We start from the raw sequence: 17638 nt of genomic DNA on the forward strand, positions 1-17638 counted from the left end.
TTGCCCGGCGATGCTGCGCGACCGCCTTCCAGCACCGGGAAGATTCTGGGCACTCAGGGACGTTGAGCTTCCCACCTGAGCCTCCGGGGGGACCCCTCACAACCGCCACCGCAGAGCGAGGCAAACCCAACGCGGGGGCAGAGGGCGGGTGCGCATGCGGGGCTGCAGGGATGCGGAGGGGAGGGCGCGGAGCGGAGGGCGCGGAGCGGAGGGGTCGCCCTCAGTCCTCGGTCCCGCCCCCAGCCCGCCCCCCCGGGCCCGCCCGACGCCCCCAGCCACCTGCAGACCGCGGCCCTGGGAGGAGGGCGGGACCCCGGCGCGGCGTGGCTGCGGGGCGCTCCCAAAGTCAACTCTTCACCAAGACAAAGAAAGAAAACTCGTGACGCAGACTCTGGAATAATAAATACGTTTTCTCTGCTACAGTCTCGGCAAAGGCCACGGCCCTAGAACGGGGCGCCGCCTCCGATGCAGTCTCAGGGCCACAGCCTCAGCGCAGCCACGGCCTCCAGGGCCCACCCGGGCCCTGCGGCCCCGCCCTGGGGGCGGCGGGCAGCGCCCGGGTCAGACCCGGCAGCAGCGGCGGCGCGAGCAGAGGGAAGGGGCCGCCGAGCGATGGCAGCAGCGGGCGGCCCGCGTAGACCTCGGGCGCTGGGGCCTCTGCGGGGGCAGCCGGGGACAGCGAGGCCGGGCGGCGGGAGGGTCCCAGCTGGCGCAGGCAGGCTGCCAGGTGGCCCAGCAGGCGGGAGCGCACGTCGGCCGGGACGCCCTCGCAGCCGGCCAGGAAGCGGTTCACCTCCGCCAGACACTCGTGGAAGCCGGCGCGGTACTTGCCCAGAACGGCGGGGTCGGCGCTGAGCGCGGCTGCGGGAGCGACACAGGAGGAGAGGTCGGTGCCGGGTCCCGGGGGTCCCGCGCCCTCCCCCCGCCTCCAAGCCGCCGCCGCCCGCGCCTCACCCGTCACCTGCACGCGACGCAGGCTCCGCAGGTGTCTCACGGTCATCTCCAGGATGTCCGCCTTCTCCAGCTTCGAGTGGCGGGAGCTCTGGGGGCGGGGATAGGCGGGAGGTCCAGGTCAGCTGCGACCCAGACTCCGGGTCTCGGGCCTTCGCCCCCGACTTACCTCTTTTCTGAGGGCGTCCAGGATGAGGGTTTTGAGCTGAGCGAGGCTCTCGTTAATACGCGCTCGGCGCCGCTTCTCCATGACCGGCTTGGAGGACTGCGGGTCGGGCACCGGCTGAGTCCCGCGTCCCTCCCGCCCCCCGGTCGCCCCCCTCACGCCCGGCCGGGACCCCACCTTGCGGTGCTCGGCCGCGCTCCGGGGCTTGTCTGGGGTCCGGCTGGCGCTGGCCGGCGCTCCTGCCATCGGCGAGGCGCTCGGTTTCCCCGGCGTGTCTGCGGCCATGGTGCGCCCCGCGCCTCCCCGTGCCGGGTGGAGCGCGCCGCCACGGACCACGGGCGGGCTGGCGGGCGAGCGGCGAGCGCGCGGCGATCCGAGCCCCTAGGGCGGATCCCGGCTCCAGGCCCGCGCGCGCCTCAGGCCGTTTCCCTATTTAAGGCCTCGCCGCCGCGGGGTGTGTGAACCCGGCTCCGCATTCTTTCCCACACTCGCCCCAGCCAATCGACGGCCGCGCTCCTCCCCCGCTCGCTGTCAGTCACGCCTCGGCTCCGGGCGCGGCCTCCGCGGGCGACAATGGCATGCGGGGCCCCCGCCCGCGCCCCCCTCCGACACCGCTGGGGACAGGGCCGGGTGATCCCGCGCTCCCCGATGCAGCCGGGGCCGAGCAACGCGCCGGGAGGGGCCGCTGGGGGCGAACGGGGCCCGGGACCCCCGGGGCTGGGCGGAGTCTCGGGGCTCACTCTCCCGCCCAGGGGGCCGGGAGCCGGGGCTGGACGGAGCTGGGGCTGTGGCCGCGCGGGAAGTCGGGAAGGAAATTCCCCCAGTGGCGCAGGGTCCGGCGGCGCCGAGGGGTGGGCGAGCCTCGGTCTCGAGCCTCTTGGCTTCCTCCGCCCGTCCCCACTCCGGTCCCGGTTTGGGCCCTGCTCGGTCTCCGAGTTTGATCCGACACCGGCTCGGCCTCCGGGGGTCCCACCCTCAGGTGTGCGGCCTGGAGCACGGAGGGCTGCAGAAAGCCTTGGGAGCGACAGAGCCGGGGGAAGGTCGGCGGCCGGGTCGGCAGGCGGGAGGGCGGAGTCAGCGGACGGCGAAGGGGCGCACGGGTGGCCCCGCAGAGCAGGGCCGGTGATGGCGCGGGCCGGGCCGGACCACGAGGAGCAGAACGTGCGCGTGACGCGAGCGGGCTGGTGACGTCACCAGGCACCCGGGGCGATGACGCAAGCCTGCTGGGATGACGTCATGTGGCCCGTGTCGCCACGTGCTTCCAGGTGACCCGCTGGCGAACTCAGCAGCAGCAAAGTGGGGCTCACAGAAAAATGAGGGGCCACTGTTAATATAACTGCAAAGGGGCAGGTTGCGTAAAACAGGGCTGTGGTTATTTTCGTGTTTGCTGTTTTTATTTCGAATGCCGCTGCGGGGCACGTTGGTCCTTTCCGCACTCGGGGTCCCCGGCGGCCTCACGCGTCCGTGCAGCGGAGGCTTCCTGAGCCCCCTGGAGAGCCTGGCCTGGGCCCGGGTGTGGAGACCCTCCCGGGCTTTCAATCCGGGCAGGAGGCAGATGGCAGACTCAGCAGTCACGTAAGAGAACCGAATTAGGTGGGTGGCCTGGGTGGACAAAAGCCTTCTTGACGCCGGGTGGTCCCAAAGGCTTCTGCGGGGTGGGGGGTCCTCAGGGGGGAAGCCTCAAGGGAGGGCGTGGCATTCCCAGGGTGCGAAGGGGGCGCAGGGACGAGGGAGGTGGGGAGGGGGAGCTGGGCCAGCGAGAACCGGGAGCTTCTGGTCGGGGAGGGAGTCGGGGAACTTTTTGGGGAGCTTTTCTGAGCCAGGGAGTCGGCTGATTGGCAGGTTCGCCCCTGCCCGGGCACCTGGACCCAGGGTTTCTGTGCGGAAGCTTCCCCTCCCCTCGGACCCCACGTCTAATCTGGCCCCAAGCAAAGTCCTGCGGCCCACGCGGGAAGGCGCCCTCTTCGCGGCGCTGACCCCGGCCCTCCGCGGTGCCCCTGAGGCGCCCCCCACACCCCGCCGCTTGCACAGGGGCGCGGGGGGCTGCGAGGCCGGAGCGGGGGTGGCGCCCTCTCCGCCGAGAGGCTGTCCGCGCCCCTCGCCGACTGGGGAAAGCCGCGGGGGCTGGGCGGGCGTCTCGGAGGTGGCCCCGCGAGCACTTAAGCCCCGGCTCTCCTGCCCCGACCTCTCTGCGCGCGCCTCGGCGCTGGAGAGGCTCGGACCGGCCCCGTAGCCCAGGAGGTGGTGTGGATGGTGTCCCCGTCCCGCGTCCCTCCCCGGCCTGAGCGCTGGGCCCGGGCGGGAAAGCCCGCGAGCGCCCCCAGTGGCCGCAGTCGCCGCCGCCTCCTGCTGGGGGTCATCCCAGGGGAGCTGCCGGCCTGAATCTCCCCAGCCCCTGGGCCCCGGCTTGGGAAGAAATTTGGGGGGGCTCTGGGCCTCCCCCAGTCCCTAGACAGGCAGGGAGTTCGGGATGGAAGGAGGAGCCTGAGGATCGTTTTTATTTATTTTTTTTTTGTAGAGATGGGGATCTCCCTATGTTGCCCAGGCTGGTCTCGAACTCCTGGCCCGAGACGATGCTCCTGCCTCGGCCTCCCAACGTGCTGGGACTACAGGCGTGAGTCTCCTCCCTGCCAAGCGTGGCTGGGACTGATCATTCCCTCACTGGTTTTTAGATGGGCTCACTTCCCCTCCTTGTACCTGTTTTCTCATCTGTAAAAGGGAGCTAACTTTTTTTTTTTTTTTTTTTTGAGGCAGCGTCTCGCTCTGTTGCCCAGGCTGGAGTGCAGTGGCACCACAACCTTTGCCTCCCGGGTTCAAGCGATTCTCCTGCCTCAGCCTCCCAAGTAGCTGGGATTACAAGCATGTACCACCACGCCCGGCTAGTGTTTTGTATTTTTAGTAGAGATGGGGTTTCACTGTGTTGGCCAGGCTGGTCTTAATAGGAGATTCTACTTTTTTTTTTTCTTTTTTGAGACGGAGTTTCACTCTTGTCGCTCAGGCTGGAGTGCAGTGGCACGATCTGGGCTCACCACAACCTCTGCTTCCTGTATTCAAGCGATTCTCCTGCCTCAGCCTCTGGAGTAGCTGGGATTACAGGCGTGTGCCGCCACACCTGGCTAATTTTTGTATTTTTAGTAGAGATGTAGTTTCTCCATGTTGGTCAGGCTGGTCTCAAACTCCCCACCTCAGGTGATCCACGCACCTCAGCCTCCCAAAGTGCTGGGATTACAGGTGTGAGCCACCGTGCCTGGCCAGGAGATTCTACTTTTAAAGCCACTGACGGCGTCCAACTCATAGTGAGCACCCACGCCCATCTGCCAGGGTTCCTGCCCCTGGGCAGCAGCTGGGGTCCTTGCTGAGCAGAGGCAGGAGGGGCCACCAGCACTTGCCTCTGCTCTTCTGGAGAGGAAGAGACCCCCCTGCTCCCTGCCCCCTGCCAGGGAGCCCACTCCAGGATCTCCGGGGACTGTGTTCCTCCCACCTTCTTTGCCACAGGACAGCTCCCATCTGTGTGTCTGTCTCTCTGGGTCTGTGCCCTTGGCCTCTGATGGTCCCCTCCCTGCCTCTCGAATCTGGCCTCGATTTGTGGTAGGGGCCTCAGGGTTCCTGAGGGCCTTGGGGTTCCCTTGCTCTGAGTGTGGGGGTGGATCCTGGGCTGCAGCCCAGGATGGTGCCGACACCTGGGTTGGGGGCAGGTTGCGTTTTTCAGAGACGGCCGTGATAGTATCTCCCATCCCCATATCTTGAAATGCCTTCTACATGAGACTCTGTGACAGTCTCAGCTGGGAAGAATGGGGTGTTTGGCAGGACATGACTTCTGAGGCTGACTTGGAAGACGCCATGCGTACCTCGCTGTCCTGGGACAGTCGCTCTTGGAACCCAGCTGCCGTGCTGGGAGGGAGCACGCCCTGGCCTCAAGGAGAGGCCCCGTGGAGGAATCAGCATTGGATTCCAGACTCCTGAGCAGCTTCCGGCGCAGGTCCCAGCGCGCCCCGTTCCAAGGCTGCCCGCACACAGTAGGGTGGTTGCTGAGCGTGCTGTTTTGGGGTGGTTTGTGGTGCGGCACTCAAGACTGGAATAGTGGAGGTGGGCTGGGGCCCTGACCCAGGGAGAGTGACCCTTCCCTCCTCACCCCTGCTCCCTCCTCGCTGATCCCTTCCTCTCTTCCACAGAGGCAGAGGCTCAGCGACTTCCCCACCCCTCCCCCCCATCTAACGGGTGCTTCTTGGGAGCCACTGAAATCCAGCCGACCTCCTGGCCCTGAGTGGGTCAAGCTCCAAATGGCGGGTGGCCCCGGGGCATCTGCACAGCCCCCTGTTAGCTAAGGGGGGTGACTGATGAGGACATTCACACGCCAGTGGGGAGACTGTGGGGAAAACCGGGGTGTCTTCTAGGCTGGACCTGGGGGGGCCTCAGCCTTGTTGGGGGGTCTCCTCACATTGGGCCACTGTGGCCGCACTCCATGACCACAGCCAGTGTCCCCAAAAGGCCTGTGAGGTGCTGGCTGTGACCTCCCCTCCCAACCTCTGACCCAGAGGTGGCGGCTGCCATCTCGCCACGGCCCTCAACACCCCCCTCACACACTGACTCCTGACATCAGAGACCTGTAGCCACCCCCTGCAGGTGGTCCTCAGCATGGTCCCCAACTCCTGCCCAGGGCAGCGGGCTGTGCACTCAGGCAGCTGGGGCCAAAGCCACCGAGGAACCAAGGCTGGGGTGGGGGTGGGTTTCTCTCCCGGAGAGCCGAGGTGGGCGCAGAGCTGTTCCTGGGTGTTTGCTGGGATTGTAGTGACAGAAGGCCAGGGCTGCAGGAATCCAGGCTGCCAGAGAGAGACCAGGACTCAGGCAGAAGCAGCAGCACCAGGCTGGTGCCACTGCCACCCCACCTGCATGCCTTCTCAGCAGCGGTGGGAGCTGTGTCTCCAAGCAGGATGGTACTGGAGTCTCCCCACCCTGCCTGTCTGGGATGCCCTCCCAGCCTGTTCCTGCTCCCGGCAGGCGCTGCTTTTCTCTCTGCTGTACCAGGACGAGGTGGGTGCCCTTGTCCCTCCTCACTGGCACTCCCAGACTGCTTTCCTTTTCCACCAAAACCACCCCCGCTTTGTGACCAGACCTCACTGTGTTGAAGTCATCGGCACCCCTTTCCTGCAGGAGGGGACACCTGCTCCCTGTCACTCTCCCGGCCATGCCTTCAAAATCCACACCAGCAATTCTCCAACTTTGACTTCCTCTCTTTCAGGGGTCCTGTCCCCTCCCCACTTACCCCACTGGGTCCTTTCTCCCAACTGCACCCCTCCACGGTCCAGCCTCTCCACTCTCTCTGCCCCCCTCCCAGCTCCCGCCTCTGCTGTCCGCCAGCCCTGAGATCTCGGGCAGATGCACAGCCTGCATCTGCGGCTTCCTCCTCCCCTGTCTGTTCTCTCCTTATCAAGAGAAGCCTATCTGGCCGGCCATTGTGTCTGCCCCTCACCCTCCCTCCTTCCTGTTCATGTGGGCAGACCACAGCCCGTGTGGAATCCCTACCTTCTTGGTGGCTTAAGCACCACCTGCCTATTCTTTCCGTAGTGGGGATCAGGGCAGTGCCAGTGGCTTCCTGGGGCCTCTCACAGCCTGCGGCCCTGGGCCAAGGTCAGCTGGGTGGGAAGGGCCCAAGGGTAGCCATGCTGGACACCTGGGGCTGCTGTCCCTCAGCTGCCGGGCTCTCTGCCAGAGCCGTGCAGCCTGGAGTCCTACCCACTCTCAGTCAGCTTCCTCCTAACACATGGCCAGCGTTCCAGGAGGGCGAAGTGGAAGCCTAGGGACTCTTGAGGCCAGGATCCAGAACGCACATAGTAAAATCTCCACCACACTCCATCGGCCAAAGCAAGTCACAGCAGCCAGATTCCAGAGGAGTCGAAGCACACACTGACCCCTCCTCCCCTCCACCGCCTGCCTCTGCCCTCCCCTCGCAGGGGCAGGGCTGCCTGATGAGCCCCCTGGGTTTATCTGCCCTGCTGGCCCTGGGAAGGCTGGGATGAAAGTGTCATTTAGTGGCAGGGACTTTAGGGAGCCTGGTATGGTCAAGCCCTAGCCCCCGCAGCAGTGCCCCCGCAGCAGTTCCCCCCGCAGCAGTGCCCCCAGGACAGCTGGGCCTGGGTCTCCAGTGGGTCGGAGTTTTCTGAAGCCGGCCGTGGGTCGACCTCGCACCCGGTGACTGCCCCAGGCGGAGGGGCATGCGTGGCCCAGCGCGGGGGCCCTGTCCGTGGCCGTGTGGGGTCAGGTGTCCGGCTCGGGGCTTCTGGGCCCCCTGCTCCCCAAAGGTGTGCAGCTCCCGCGTCCCCTGCCAGGTCCTTTAGGTCTAAGAGGGTCCCTCTTGTCCAGCGCACCAGGCTCCACGTACCCCCAACCCCTCCCCAGCTGGGTGCCTCCCCCTGGCTGGAACGGCAGCCCTCCCTGCTCATGGGCCTGCCCCTCCACTCTATCCTCCCTGACGCAGCCAGTGGCATGCTTCTAACCTGCAGATGCCCTCCCCAGGGGCCAAGCCCACCAGACACCAGGCAACTCTAAGTGGCCCACTGGGTCCACTGTGTGGAGTGGGACCCTCCGCCCTGTCTCAGGTCCTGCTGTCCCAGGAAGCCCTTACAGGGGGCTGCAGCTGGGGGGTGACATGCCTGCCGAGTGGGTGGGGAGGCTCCGGCCCGGTAAGATGGGATCCAGCAGTGCGAGACTGTGGCCCAGGTCAGATGGTGGCAGCTCGGCCTTCCTGGTCCCAGGTGGAGAGACAGGGTGAGGCTCCTCCCCATGGGATCTGGAGGGGAGGGGCTGCCTGTGTAATCAGCCCAGCCTCGGACGTCAACAATCCATGTTTCTTAGGAAAGGCGGCCAACCCAGGGTCTCCAGTGACACGTTTCCGGGTCATCATCCGGTGGCCACAGGGAATCACAGGCTCGGTGTGACTTTCTCAGAGCGCCATGGTGCCCCTGTGGGGTTTCCCAGCCCATCCTGTCCTGTGGGACAGGCAGAGGCCCAGCCGTGTCATCGGAGTGACCTTTGAGCTCTAACCAAAGTCCACGTGTCATCAGGAGCCATGAGTCACTCAGGTGCCATCCAGGGCGGCGGCTGAGGAGTGGTGACTGGCCAGATGGGAAGGCGGGGAAGGGTCTGGATTTGAATGAGAGCGAGGGAGTGGGCTGCAGGCTGGTAGACTCCTCCAGATGGATGAGGCCAGACCCCTGCAACAGCCATCCCGAGCAAGGCTCAAGCCTCCCTGAGAGTCCAGGGCGCCAAGTCAGCCCTGCACCTGGCCCGGGCCTCGGACCCCGACGGGGCTCACCCACCTGAGATCACCCTGGCTCTGCGGGAAGGCAGGAAGCTTTGGCATGATCCTCCACGGGCGAGGATCACGTAGAGACGTGTAGAGACGCGACGAAGCACGAAGACCCGTGTTTGACGGGTTGCCAGGTGCCTACATCAGAGCTCATTAAATTACACATTAAATAGATGCACGTGTGTGTGTCAAGCTCCCCTAATTCAAGTTGTAGAAAATCAGACTCAGAGTTCTTACACTCGGGGGTGTTTTAGCAGCTGCGCCTCAAGATTCTAAATTCAAACGCACACGGAATAAAACATTTCGGTTTATCGCCAGGCGCGGCGGCTCACACCTGCCATCCCAGCCCTTTGGGAGGCCGGGGTGGGTGGATCACCTGAGGTCAGGAGTTGGAGACCAGCCTGGCCAACATGGTGAAACCCCGTCTCTACTAAAAATACAAAGATTAGCTGGGTGTGGTGGTGGGCGTCTGTAATCCCAGCTACTCGGGAGGCTGAGGCAGGAGAATCGCTTGAACCCGGGAGGTAAAGGTTATGGTGAGCCAAGATCATGCCACTGCACTCTAGCCTGGGCAACAAGAGCAAACTCTGTCTCAAAAAGAAAAAGAAAAGAAAAAAGAAAAAGTTTATTCCCAGTAAAACACGTTCAACTCTCCAGATCGTGGTGACATTTCCAGCTTGATGTGGTAACGTGATTGTGAGCTTCAGGTATGACCTTCAGCATAAATACGTGTGCCATCTCCTGTGCAATTCTTTTTTTTTTTTTTTTTTTTTTTTTTTTTTTTTTGAGACGGAGTCTCGCTCTGTCGCCCAGGCTGGAGTGCAGTGGCGGGATCTCGGCTCACTGCAAGCTCCGCCTCCCGGGTTCACGCCATTCTCCTGCCTCAGCCTCCCAAGTAGCTGGGACTACAGGCGCCCGCCACTACGCCCGGCTAATTTTTTGTATTTTTAGTAGAGACGGGGTTTCACCGTTTTAGCTGGGATGGTCTCGATCTCCTGACCTCGTGATCCGCCCGCCTCGGCCTCCCAAAGTGCTGGGATTACAGGCGTGAGCCACCGCGCCCGGCTCCTGTGCAATTCTTACAGACCCAGCTTGGCTGTTCTCCAGTGTCTCCTTTGGGAGTTGTACCTGATTTTATTACCAGTTTTCATCTGAATCCACTGGGGAATGGGACGATTTTGCTTTTGTTTCTTGGCCAGGAATCGCTTAATTCTGAAAGTCTGGTGAGAAGACACGGCGAGAATCGGGGTCCAGCACAGATGATGGCGACAGCGGAGAAGGGAAGGTAAGGGAGGGGGCTCAAGCTTTTATCGTTATGGGACCTCCTGTGTCTATTATGCTTTCTTCCATGATCTTTGTTAGTATGTTAATGACTTTGTTAATATATCCACACCTGCTTCCTTTTACTTAATATTTGTGTGGTATGCTTCTTTCCATTGCTTGATGTTCAAACTTGCTGTGTCTTTATGTTTCAGATGATTCTTGTCTCTGGAAGCCACACAGAGCCAGTTGTTTGTTTTGTTTGTTTGTTTCTTTCTTTCTTTTTTTGAGACGGAGTTTCGTTCTTGTCCCCCAGGCTGGAGTGCAATGGCACGATCTCGGCTCACTGCAACCTCCGCCTCCCAGGTTCAAGCAATTCTCCTGCCTCAGCCTCCCAAGTAGCTGGGACTACAGGTGCCCACCACCACGCCGTACTCATTTTGCCTTTTTAGTAGAGACGGGGTTTCACTGTGTTGGCCAGGCTGGTCTTGAACTCCTGACCTCAGGCGATTCACCCGCCTTGGCCTCCCAAAGTGCTGGGATTACAGGTGTGAGCCACCGCGCCCGGCGTTTTGTTTCATTTTTATTTTTGAGACACGGTCTTGCTCTGTCGCCCAGGCTGGAGTGCAGTGTCGCAATCTCGGCTCACTGCATCCTCCGCCTCCCGGGTTCAAGCCATTCTCGTGCCTCAGCCTCCCGAGTAGCTGGGACTGCAGGCGCCCACCACCACGCCCGGCTATTTTTTTTTTTAGAGGTGGGGTCTCACTATGTTGCCCAGGCTGGTCTCAAACTCCCAGGCTCAAGCGATCCTCTAGGCTTTGCTTCCAAAGTGCTGAAATTACAGATGTGAGCCACCATCTGACAATCTTGGTCATTTAGTCCACATGAATTTTGGGCTTTTGGCCTGGAGAACTACGAGAGAATACATTTCTGTGGTGTGAAGTTTAACACCCAGTTTGTGGTACATTGTTCAGCAACCCCAGGAAACTAAAGCAAGTGACTGCAGGTCTGGTCACCTTCCTCGGTGCCTGTGCCTGGGGTTGGTTCTGTCGAAGCAGGAAGACAACTGGCAGAGATGGGATGAAGTAACCAAAAGGAAAGGAAGATTCTAGCACCGTACGTCAGCATTAAGAAATCAGGAAACGGGCCGGGCGCGGTGGCTCACGCCTGTAATCTCAGCACTTTGGGAGGATGAGGTGGGCGGATCACGAGGTCAGGAGATCGAGACCATCCTGGGTAACACGGTGAAACCCCGTCTCTACTAAAAATACAAAAAATTAGCCAAGCGTGGTGGTGGGCGCCTGTAGTCCCAGCTGCTCGGGAGGCTGAGGCAGGAGAATTGCTTGAGCCCTGGAGGCGGAGCTTGCAGTGAGCTGAGATGGCACCACTGCACTCCAGCCTGGGCGACAGCAAGACTCCGTCTCAAAAAAAAAAAAAAGAAAAGAAATCAGGAAACATATACCATGTTTAACAGGGCATCTAAAATGATAAAAATAAATAGAAAATCCTGGGTTTTTTGTTTGTTTTGCTTGGGTTTGGTTTGGTTTTGAGACAGGGTCTCGCTCTGTCACCCAGGCTGGAGTGCAGTGGTGCGATCACAGCTCACTGCAGCCTCCACCTCCCGGGTTCAAGCTATCCTCCCACCTCAGCCTCCAAAGTAGCCAGGACTACAGGTGTGCGCCACCACGCCCGGCCAATTTTTTTATGTATTGCAGGGACAGGGTTTCACCATGTTGCCCAGGCTGGTCTCAAACTCCTGGGCTCAAGCCATCTGCCTGCCTCGGCCTCCCAAAGTCCTGGGACTGTGGTGTTTGTTTGTTTGAGACAGGGTCTTGTTCTCGTCGCCCAGGCTGGAGGGCAGTGGCGCGATCTCAGCTCACTGCAACCTCCACCTCCAGGGCTCAAGCAATTCTCCTGCCTCAGCCTCTCGAGTAGCTGGGACTACAGGTGTGAGCCACCACACCCAGCTAATTTTTGCATTTTTAGTAGAGATGGGGTTTCACCATGTTGGCTAGGCTGGTCTTGAACTCCTGACCTCAAGTGATTTGCCCGCCTCGTCCTCCCAAAGCGCTGGGATCACAGGCGTGAGCCGCCACCCCGCCTCCTCTTTGGTTTTCAGATGCTGACAATTTTGGTGACCCCTGAGATTTGCTGGGAGACGGGGAAGGGCCAGGATTCATATTCAGAATATGTTGATTTTTCACTCTTACACTTGTTTATTTAAAAATTATTTATTTATTTATTTGAATCTTATTTAAATATTTTATTTATTTGTTTATTACTGAGTCTTAGCTATCCTTCTCTTGTTATGTGCTGTGTGTAACAACAACAATTTGGGAACAGCCTAAGTATTCAGTGATGTGGGATGGGTTTTAACTAAATTAACTCTGTACTGTAACAGGCTCATTCTTCCATGGGAAACATGCAGTTGTTAAAACAACCTGCACAGATGCGTCCACCAACACGGATAGATGCGTGTTTTTGTTTTTTGGGTTTTTTTTTTTTTTTTTTGAGACAGGGTCTCGCTCTCTCACCCAGGCTGGAGTGCAGTGAAGCGATCTCGGCTCACTGCAGCCTCCGCCTCCCAGGCTCAAGTGATTCTCCTGCCTCAGCCTCCCAAGTATCTGGGATTACAGGTGCCCACCACCACGCCCAGCTAATTTTTGTATTTTTAGTAGAGATGGGGTTTCACCATGTTGGCCAGGCTGGTCTCAAACTGCTGACCTCAGGTGATCTACCCGCCTCGGTCTCTCAAAGTGCTGGGATTACAGGTGAGCCACTGCGCCCGGCCCATGCCCAGCTAATTTTTCGCATTTTTAGTAGGGACGGAGTTTCACCATATTGGCCAGGCTGGTCTTGAACTCCTGACCTCAGGTGATCTGCCTGCCTCGGCCTCCCAAAGTGCTGGGATTACAGGCGTGAGCCCCTGTACCTGGCCTTTTTTGTTGTTGTTGTATTTTTAGTAGAGATGGGGTTTCGCCATGTAGGTCAGGCTGGTCTCGAACTCCTGATCTCAAATGATCCTCCCGCCTCAGCCTCCCGAAATGCCGGCATTACAGGCATGAGCCGCCTGGCCTGGATAGATGTTTATGATACACTGTTGCATGAATGAAGCAGGTTACAAAACAGTGAAAGTATGGTGAGGCCTTTTCACCTTTGCTTTTTATTGATGTGAAATTCATATAACATAAAACTAACCATTTTAAAGAATGAAATCCAGTGGCGTTTAGTTATTTACCACGTTGTCCAACCATCACCTCTGTGGAGTTCTGAAACATTGTCACCCCCAAAGGGGCTTGTGGCTCTGAAGCAATCACCCCCCACTCCCCCTCCCTGGCCCCCGGTAACGGGGTCGGCTTCCTGTGCTGCGGCTCTACCAGTTCCGGTCGTTTCCCCTGCGGTGAATGGAACCAACACTCTGCGGCCTTCGTGTCTGGCTCTTTCCACTTAGCATAACGTTTTCAAGGTTCTTTCACATGAATCAGTGCCTCAGTCCTTTTCATGGCTGCATAATATTCCGTTGTGTGGACATTCCACACTTTGTGTGTCCATCCATCACTGATGGACATGTGCTCCGTTCCTGCTACTTGTTTATTGTAAACTGTGCTGCCATGGACATTTGTATGCAAGTATTTGAACACCTATTTTCAATTCTTTTGGACACATGCCTAGAAGTGGAACTGCTGGGTTCCCAATAATTCTGTTGAACGTTTTGAGCATCGCGGCGGCCGCACTGTTTTACATTCTCAACAGCAATGCATGTACCAGGATTCCAGTTCCTCTATGTATTCCCCAGTGCTTGTTACTGCCTTTATGTTTATTTTATATTATTTTTTGAGACTGTCTTGCTCTGCTGCCCAGGCTGGAGTGCATTGGTGCAATCTTGGCTCACCACAATCTCTGCCTCCTGGGTTCAAGGGATTCTCCCGCCTCAGCCTCCCAAGTAGCTGGGATTACAGGCGTGCACCACCACGCCCAGCTAATTTTTGTATTTTTAGTAGAGATGGGGTTTCTACTAAAAATGTTGGCCAGGCTGGTCTCAAACTCCTGACCTTAGGTGATCCGCCCGCCTCAGCCTCCCAAAGTGTTGGGATTGCAGGCGTGAGCCACCGCACCCGGCCTGGCCTTTATTTTTATTATTACAGTCATACCAGCAGGAAATAGCATCTCACTGGGGTTTTGATTTGCATTTCCCCAATTAATAATGATGTTGAACATCACTTTACAGCCGTTTCTATGTCATTGGAGAAATGTCTATTGAAGTCTTTTGGCCATTTGAAAATTGAGTTGCCTTTTTTTTTTATTTTTATTTTTTATTGAGTTGTAAGAGTTCTCTATATGTCCTGGATGCTATGCCCTCATCAGATAGATAATTTGCAAATATTTCTTCCCATTCTATGGATTGTCTTTTCACTTTCTCAATAGTGTCCCAGAGTTCATTTTTGTAGAAAATAAAAGATAGGTCTCTTTTATTAAAAAACAATCTGAGGCTCCGGGTGCAGTGGCTCACGCCTGTAATCCCAGCAGTTTCAGAGGCCGAGGCAGGTGGATCACTTGAGCCCAGGAGTTCGAGATCAGCCTGGGCGACATGGCGAGACCCCCATCTCTACTAAAAATACAAAAAATTAGCCGGGCCTGGTGGTGCACCCCTGTGGTCCCAGCTACGTGGGAGGCTGAGGTGAGAGGATCGCTTTAGCCTGGCAGGCGGAGGTTGCAATGAGATGAGATCGTGCCTCTGCACTCCAGCCTGGGCGACAGAGTGAGAGACCCTGTCTCAAAAACACAAAAACAACAACAAAAAAACACCAATCTGAGCAAATACTGCCCTAAACCGAGTGTTGTTATCTCTGGGTAGTTTGGAGTTCTTGTTTCTCAATTAACCATGGGGATGTTTTCCAAGTTTACTAATTTTGCAAGTTGGTAAATGGAAAATGAAACCATTAGTCCATGTGATGACAGCTTTAGTGCATCCTGTGAAGGATCTGGAATGCGCGATATTTAGGTGTTTCCAGGGTGTTGGGTGGGGGTGGGGATGCCGTCCGCTGTCCGGAGTCCCCGCCACTTTTGCTTTTCCCTGTCTTTCGGTCATTCGGTTTTGTTTCTTCCGCTCACTCTGGGGCATGCCTCGGGAAAGGGAAACCGAAACTGAAGCCAAATTTGGCCACCAGCGCAGGCTCGGCGGCACGCCCCCTGACGTGTGTGCCTCAGGCTTATAATAGGGCCGGTGCTGCCTGCCGAAGCCGGCGGCTGAGAGGCAGCGAACTCATCTTTGCCAGTACAGGAGCTTGTGCCGTGGCCCACAGCCCACAGCCCACAGCCATGGTAAGGCAGATGTCACAGGTGGGGGGAGGTGGGCTCTGTGCCAGCCAATTTTCGTCTCCCTCCCCCAGCCAAGGTCTCCCAGGGGTGCAGGGAGAGCGGAGCTGCTCAGAGCTTGGCCAGGTTCTAAGTGTGCTCCTGAAAGCAGGTCACCCCTGAGATCCTCAGGGTGGGGCACAGAGGGGCACCCTAGCAGGTAAAGGGAGGCCACGGGATGGCGGTGGGCAGCTGGCCTTCTAGTAACGAGCCCTCAGTGCCTTCTGTGCCTGGGGTCCCTGCCGGCGGGATGTAGAGGACAGACAGGAGGGAGCACTGTCCCTGGGTACAGGAGCTCGCCCTGCAGCCAGTGCCTTGTGTGTGGTGGGCCTGGGGCTGGCGCCGCAGTCTCTGAACCTGTGTGACGCCTGCAGGGCTGGGACCTGACGGTGAAGATGCTGGCGGGCAACGAATTCCAGGTGTCCCTGAGCAGCTCCATGTCGGTGTCAGAGCTGAAGGCGCAGATCACCCAGAAGATCGGCGTGCACGCCTTCCAGCAGCGTCTGGCTGTCCACCCGAGCGGTGTGGCGCTGCAGGACAGGGTCCCCCTTGCCAGCCAGGGCCTGGGCCCCGGCAGCACGGTCCTGCTGGTGGTGGACAAATGCGACGAACCTCTGAGCATCCTGGTGAGGAATAACAAGGGCCGCAGCAGCACCTACGAGGTACGGCTGACGCAGACCGTGGCCCACCTGAAGCAGCAAGTGAGCGGGCTGGAGGGTGTGCAGGACGACCTGTTCTGGCTGACCTTCGAGGGGAAGCCCCTGGAGGACCAGCTCCCGCTGGGGGAGTACGGCCTCAAGCCCCTGAGCACCGTGTTCATGAATCTGCGCCTGCGGGGAGGCGGCACAGAGCCTGGCGGGCGGAGCTAAGGGCCTCCACCAGCATCCGAGCAGGATCAAGGGCCGGAAATAAAGGCTGTTGTAAAGAGAAATGGCCGCCTCTGTGTCTGTGCTTGCCCCTCCTCCAGCGTCCGCCTCAGACCCCTGGTGATGGGGCGGGAGAAGTCAGGAGGGAGAACCCAGGGTCCATCCTGGTGACCAGGCCTGGGCTGCCAAGTGAAGGGATAAGGGTTTGCAGTTACAGCTTCGAGGGATCAAAATAGGGAGCCCCCCACCCCGAAACTGAAGTAAGACAGCTCTCCCCACCCTTTGGGAAATTAACTTCTAGGAAAAGAAAAAGAGACACAGTTGCTGGAGCCCATCCTGCCTGTCCTCCATCTGGGACAGCAGACGGCTTAGGCAGGGACCCGCCTGATCAGATCAAAAGGGGAGGCTCCCAGTGGGCCCCTGGGAGCAGTAAGGGGTGAGTCCTTGGGGCCTGCCCGGTGGGCTGTGAGGCAGGCTCTCCATAGGAACTGGGGGCTGGGGACCTCAGCCGTCCCTAGCCCAGCCTACACAGCCTGCTCCACCTGCCTGGGCTGGGCTAGGGAGGGGTAGAGACAGGTCCTGAGCACTCACATCACCACTGGGGCCAGCTGCAGAAGACAGCCTGGGTGGCTAAGTACACCCCCTCAAGGCTGTGCGTGAAGGAGGGGCCGTGGCCAGCAGTGGAGGGCACCTGGAGTTGGGGCTGACACCGTCCAGGAAGCAGAGCTTGTCCCAGGTGGGGGGCCCCCAATTCAGTACAAGCTACAAGCTACACCCCTTCCCCCACCCATGCACCCTTCTCTGTCTCTCCTATTCCAATTTGCTAAATGAGTCTCCTAGAAGCCAGCTGTTGGCCGGGAAGCAGGGAGGACGGGGCACGGATGTCGGCTGGGATGCAGCGAGGACGGGGCACAGAGGGACATGCAGAGTCCGGACTCTGGGCACTTGGGCCTCAGCTTTCAGAGCCCTCGGGAGGATCCGGCTGGAGACACAGAGTCCCCCCTGGTCTGTGGGGGTCCATATCCAGGTGGGGAGACCCCCATCTGGCTGCACCAGGACCACTGTGTGTGCCCGCATGTGCCCAGCAGGGGGTGTCCTGGCTCCAGCCTTGTGTCCGGGTCCCCACCTCACCCCTGTGTCACAATGGGCGAGTGAAGCACTTAGCCAGGGGCCTTTCCTGAACCCCCAACGGGGGCAGGGCAGGGCAGGGCCTCCTTTGTGGCTTCTGGCTCAGAGATCTGTAGCTAGCCTGGGGTGAGAGGGGCACCACAGGCCCAGTCCTTTTTATTATTATTTTTTTTGACACGGAGTCTCGCTTTGTCGCCCAGGCTGGAGTGCAGTGGCGCGATCTCTGCTCACTGCAAGCTCCACCTCCCGGGTTCACGCCATTCTCCTGCCTCAGCCTCCCGAGTAGCTGGGACTACAGGCGCCCGCCACCACGCCCGGCTAATTTTTTTTTGTATTTTCAGTAGAGGCGGGGTTTCACCGTGTTAGCCAGGATGGTCTCGATCTCCTGACCTCGTGATCCGCCCATCTCGGCCTCCCAAAGTGCTGGGATTACAGGCGTGAGCCACCGCACCCGTGCTTTTTTTTTTTTTTTTGAGATAGAGTCTCACTCTGTCGCTCAGGCTGGAGTGCAGTGGCGCCATCTCGGTTCACTGCAACCTCCACCTCCCGGGTTCAAGCAATTCTCCTGCCTCAGCCTCCCAAGTAGTTGGGATTAATGGTGCCCGC

At 59.2% G+C, this 17638-nt stretch overlaps 2 protein-coding genes and 1 pseudogene across 6 annotated transcripts, besides 15 other annotated features; 1 reads left to right on the top strand and 2 right to left on the bottom strand.

The window, feature by feature from the left end:
* On the bottom strand, positions 393 to 1526 carry HES4 (hes family bHLH transcription factor 4). 5 transcript variants are annotated; one of them, XM_047426320.1, is made up of 4 exons: positions 1295 to 1526; positions 1121 to 1216; positions 962 to 1042; positions 393 to 861 (listed from the first exon to the last, which is right to left on the bottom strand). In XM_047426320.1, exons 1-4 carry the CDS (start codon positions 1400 to 1402, stop codon positions 790 to 792), a joined length of 357 nt encoding a protein of 118 aa, XP_047282276.1. In that variant the 5' UTR covers positions 1403 to 1526; the 3' UTR covers positions 393 to 789. The 5 variants fall into 5 exon arrangements, with proteins under 5 accessions (XP_047282276.1, NP_066993.1, NP_001397629.1 ...); NM_021170.4 differs by having other exon boundaries at positions 955 to 1042; NM_001410700.1 differs by lacking the exon at positions 1121 to 1216 and having other exon boundaries at positions 955 to 1042.
* Positions 492 to 801: a silencer, noted in NCBI's record as "silent region_13". NCBI's record gives its function as "represses an Ori minimal core promoter by ATAC-STARR-seq in GM12878 lymphoblastoid cells {active_cell/tissue: GM12878}" and the evidence as "EXISTENCE:reporter gene assay evidence [ECO:0000049][PMID:35858748]".
* Positions 1352 to 1491: a silencer, noted in NCBI's record as "silent region_14". NCBI's record gives its function as "represses an Ori minimal core promoter by ATAC-STARR-seq in GM12878 lymphoblastoid cells {active_cell/tissue: GM12878}" and the evidence as "EXISTENCE:reporter gene assay evidence [ECO:0000049][PMID:35858748]".
* Positions 1562 to 1941: a silencer, noted in NCBI's record as "silent region_15". NCBI's record gives its function as "represses an Ori minimal core promoter by ATAC-STARR-seq in GM12878 lymphoblastoid cells {active_cell/tissue: GM12878}" and the evidence as "EXISTENCE:reporter gene assay evidence [ECO:0000049][PMID:35858748]".
* Positions 2042 to 2091: a silencer, noted in NCBI's record as "silent region_16". NCBI's record gives its function as "represses an Ori minimal core promoter by ATAC-STARR-seq in GM12878 lymphoblastoid cells {active_cell/tissue: GM12878}" and the evidence as "EXISTENCE:reporter gene assay evidence [ECO:0000049][PMID:35858748]".
* Positions 3169 to 3518: a silencer, noted in NCBI's record as "silent region_17". NCBI's record gives its function as "represses an Ori minimal core promoter by ATAC-STARR-seq in GM12878 lymphoblastoid cells {active_cell/tissue: GM12878}" and the evidence as "EXISTENCE:reporter gene assay evidence [ECO:0000049][PMID:35858748]".
* Positions 3569 to 3708: an enhancer, noted in NCBI's record as "active region_6". NCBI's record gives its function as "activates an Ori minimal core promoter by ATAC-STARR-seq in GM12878 lymphoblastoid cells {active_cell/tissue: GM12878}" and the evidence as "EXISTENCE:reporter gene assay evidence [ECO:0000049][PMID:35858748]".
* Positions 7557 to 8542: an enhancer, noted in NCBI's record as "H3K27ac-H3K4me1 hESC enhancer chr1:941508-942493 (GRCh37/hg19 assembly coordinates)". NCBI's record gives its function as "activates a minimal SCP1, AML or CMV promoter by ChIP-STARR-seq in primed H9 embryonic stem cells {active_cell/tissue: H9 hESC(primed)}" and the evidence as "EXISTENCE:reporter gene assay evidence [ECO:0000049][PMID:30033119]".
* On the bottom strand, positions 9489 to 9719 carry RPL39P12 (ribosomal protein L39 pseudogene 12; annotated as a pseudogene).
* Positions 14589 to 15008: an enhancer, noted in NCBI's record as "active region_7". NCBI's record gives its function as "activates an Ori minimal core promoter by ATAC-STARR-seq in GM12878 lymphoblastoid cells {active_cell/tissue: GM12878}" and the evidence as "EXISTENCE:reporter gene assay evidence [ECO:0000049][PMID:35858748]".
* Positions 14589 to 15818: a biological region, named in NCBI's record as "H3K27ac-H3K4me1 hESC enhancer GRCh37_chr1:948847-949738".
* Positions 14896 to 15787: an enhancer, noted in NCBI's record as "H3K27ac-H3K4me1 hESC enhancer chr1:948847-949738 (GRCh37/hg19 assembly coordinates)". NCBI's record gives its function as "activates a minimal SCP1, AML or CMV promoter by ChIP-STARR-seq in naive and primed H9 embryonic stem cells {active_cell/tissue: H9 hESC(naive and primed)}" and the evidence as "EXISTENCE:reporter gene assay evidence [ECO:0000049][PMID:30033119]".
* On the top strand, positions 14926 to 15969 carry ISG15 (ISG15 ubiquitin like modifier). The gene is made up of 2 exons (NM_005101.4): positions 14926 to 15005; positions 15413 to 15969. The coding sequence occupies exons 1-2, from the start codon at positions 15003 to 15005 to the stop codon at positions 15905 to 15907; spliced, it is 498 nt and encodes a 165-aa protein (NP_005092.1). The 5' UTR covers positions 14926 to 15002; the 3' UTR covers positions 15908 to 15969.
* Positions 15409 to 15818: an enhancer, noted in NCBI's record as "active region_8". NCBI's record gives its function as "activates an Ori minimal core promoter by ATAC-STARR-seq in GM12878 lymphoblastoid cells {active_cell/tissue: GM12878}" and the evidence as "EXISTENCE:reporter gene assay evidence [ECO:0000049][PMID:35858748]".
* Positions 15788 to 16679: an enhancer, noted in NCBI's record as "H3K27ac-H3K4me1 hESC enhancer chr1:949739-950630 (GRCh37/hg19 assembly coordinates)". NCBI's record gives its function as "activates a minimal SCP1, AML or CMV promoter by ChIP-STARR-seq in primed H9 embryonic stem cells {active_cell/tissue: H9 hESC(primed)}" and the evidence as "EXISTENCE:reporter gene assay evidence [ECO:0000049][PMID:30033119]".
* Positions 15979 to 16038: an enhancer, noted in NCBI's record as "active region_9". NCBI's record gives its function as "activates an Ori minimal core promoter by ATAC-STARR-seq in GM12878 lymphoblastoid cells {active_cell/tissue: GM12878}" and the evidence as "EXISTENCE:reporter gene assay evidence [ECO:0000049][PMID:35858748]".
* Positions 16489 to 16538: an enhancer, noted in NCBI's record as "active region_10". NCBI's record gives its function as "activates an Ori minimal core promoter by ATAC-STARR-seq in GM12878 lymphoblastoid cells {active_cell/tissue: GM12878}" and the evidence as "EXISTENCE:reporter gene assay evidence [ECO:0000049][PMID:35858748]".
* Positions 16965 to 17185: a silencer, noted in NCBI's record as "fragment chr1:950916-951136 (GRCh37/hg19 assembly coordinates)". NCBI's record gives its function as "represses an EF-1alpha promoter that drives an FKBP-Casp9 reporter gene in an ReSE screen in K562 erythroleukemia cells {active_cell/tissue: K562}" and the evidence as "EXISTENCE:reporter gene assay evidence [ECO:0000049][PMID:32094911]".

This window comes from Homo sapiens, chromosome 1 (assembly GCF_000001405.40).
Source record: "Homo sapiens chromosome 1, GRCh38.p14 Primary Assembly".
NCBI classification, from domain to species: domain Eukaryota; kingdom Metazoa; phylum Chordata; class Mammalia; order Primates; family Hominidae; genus Homo; species Homo sapiens.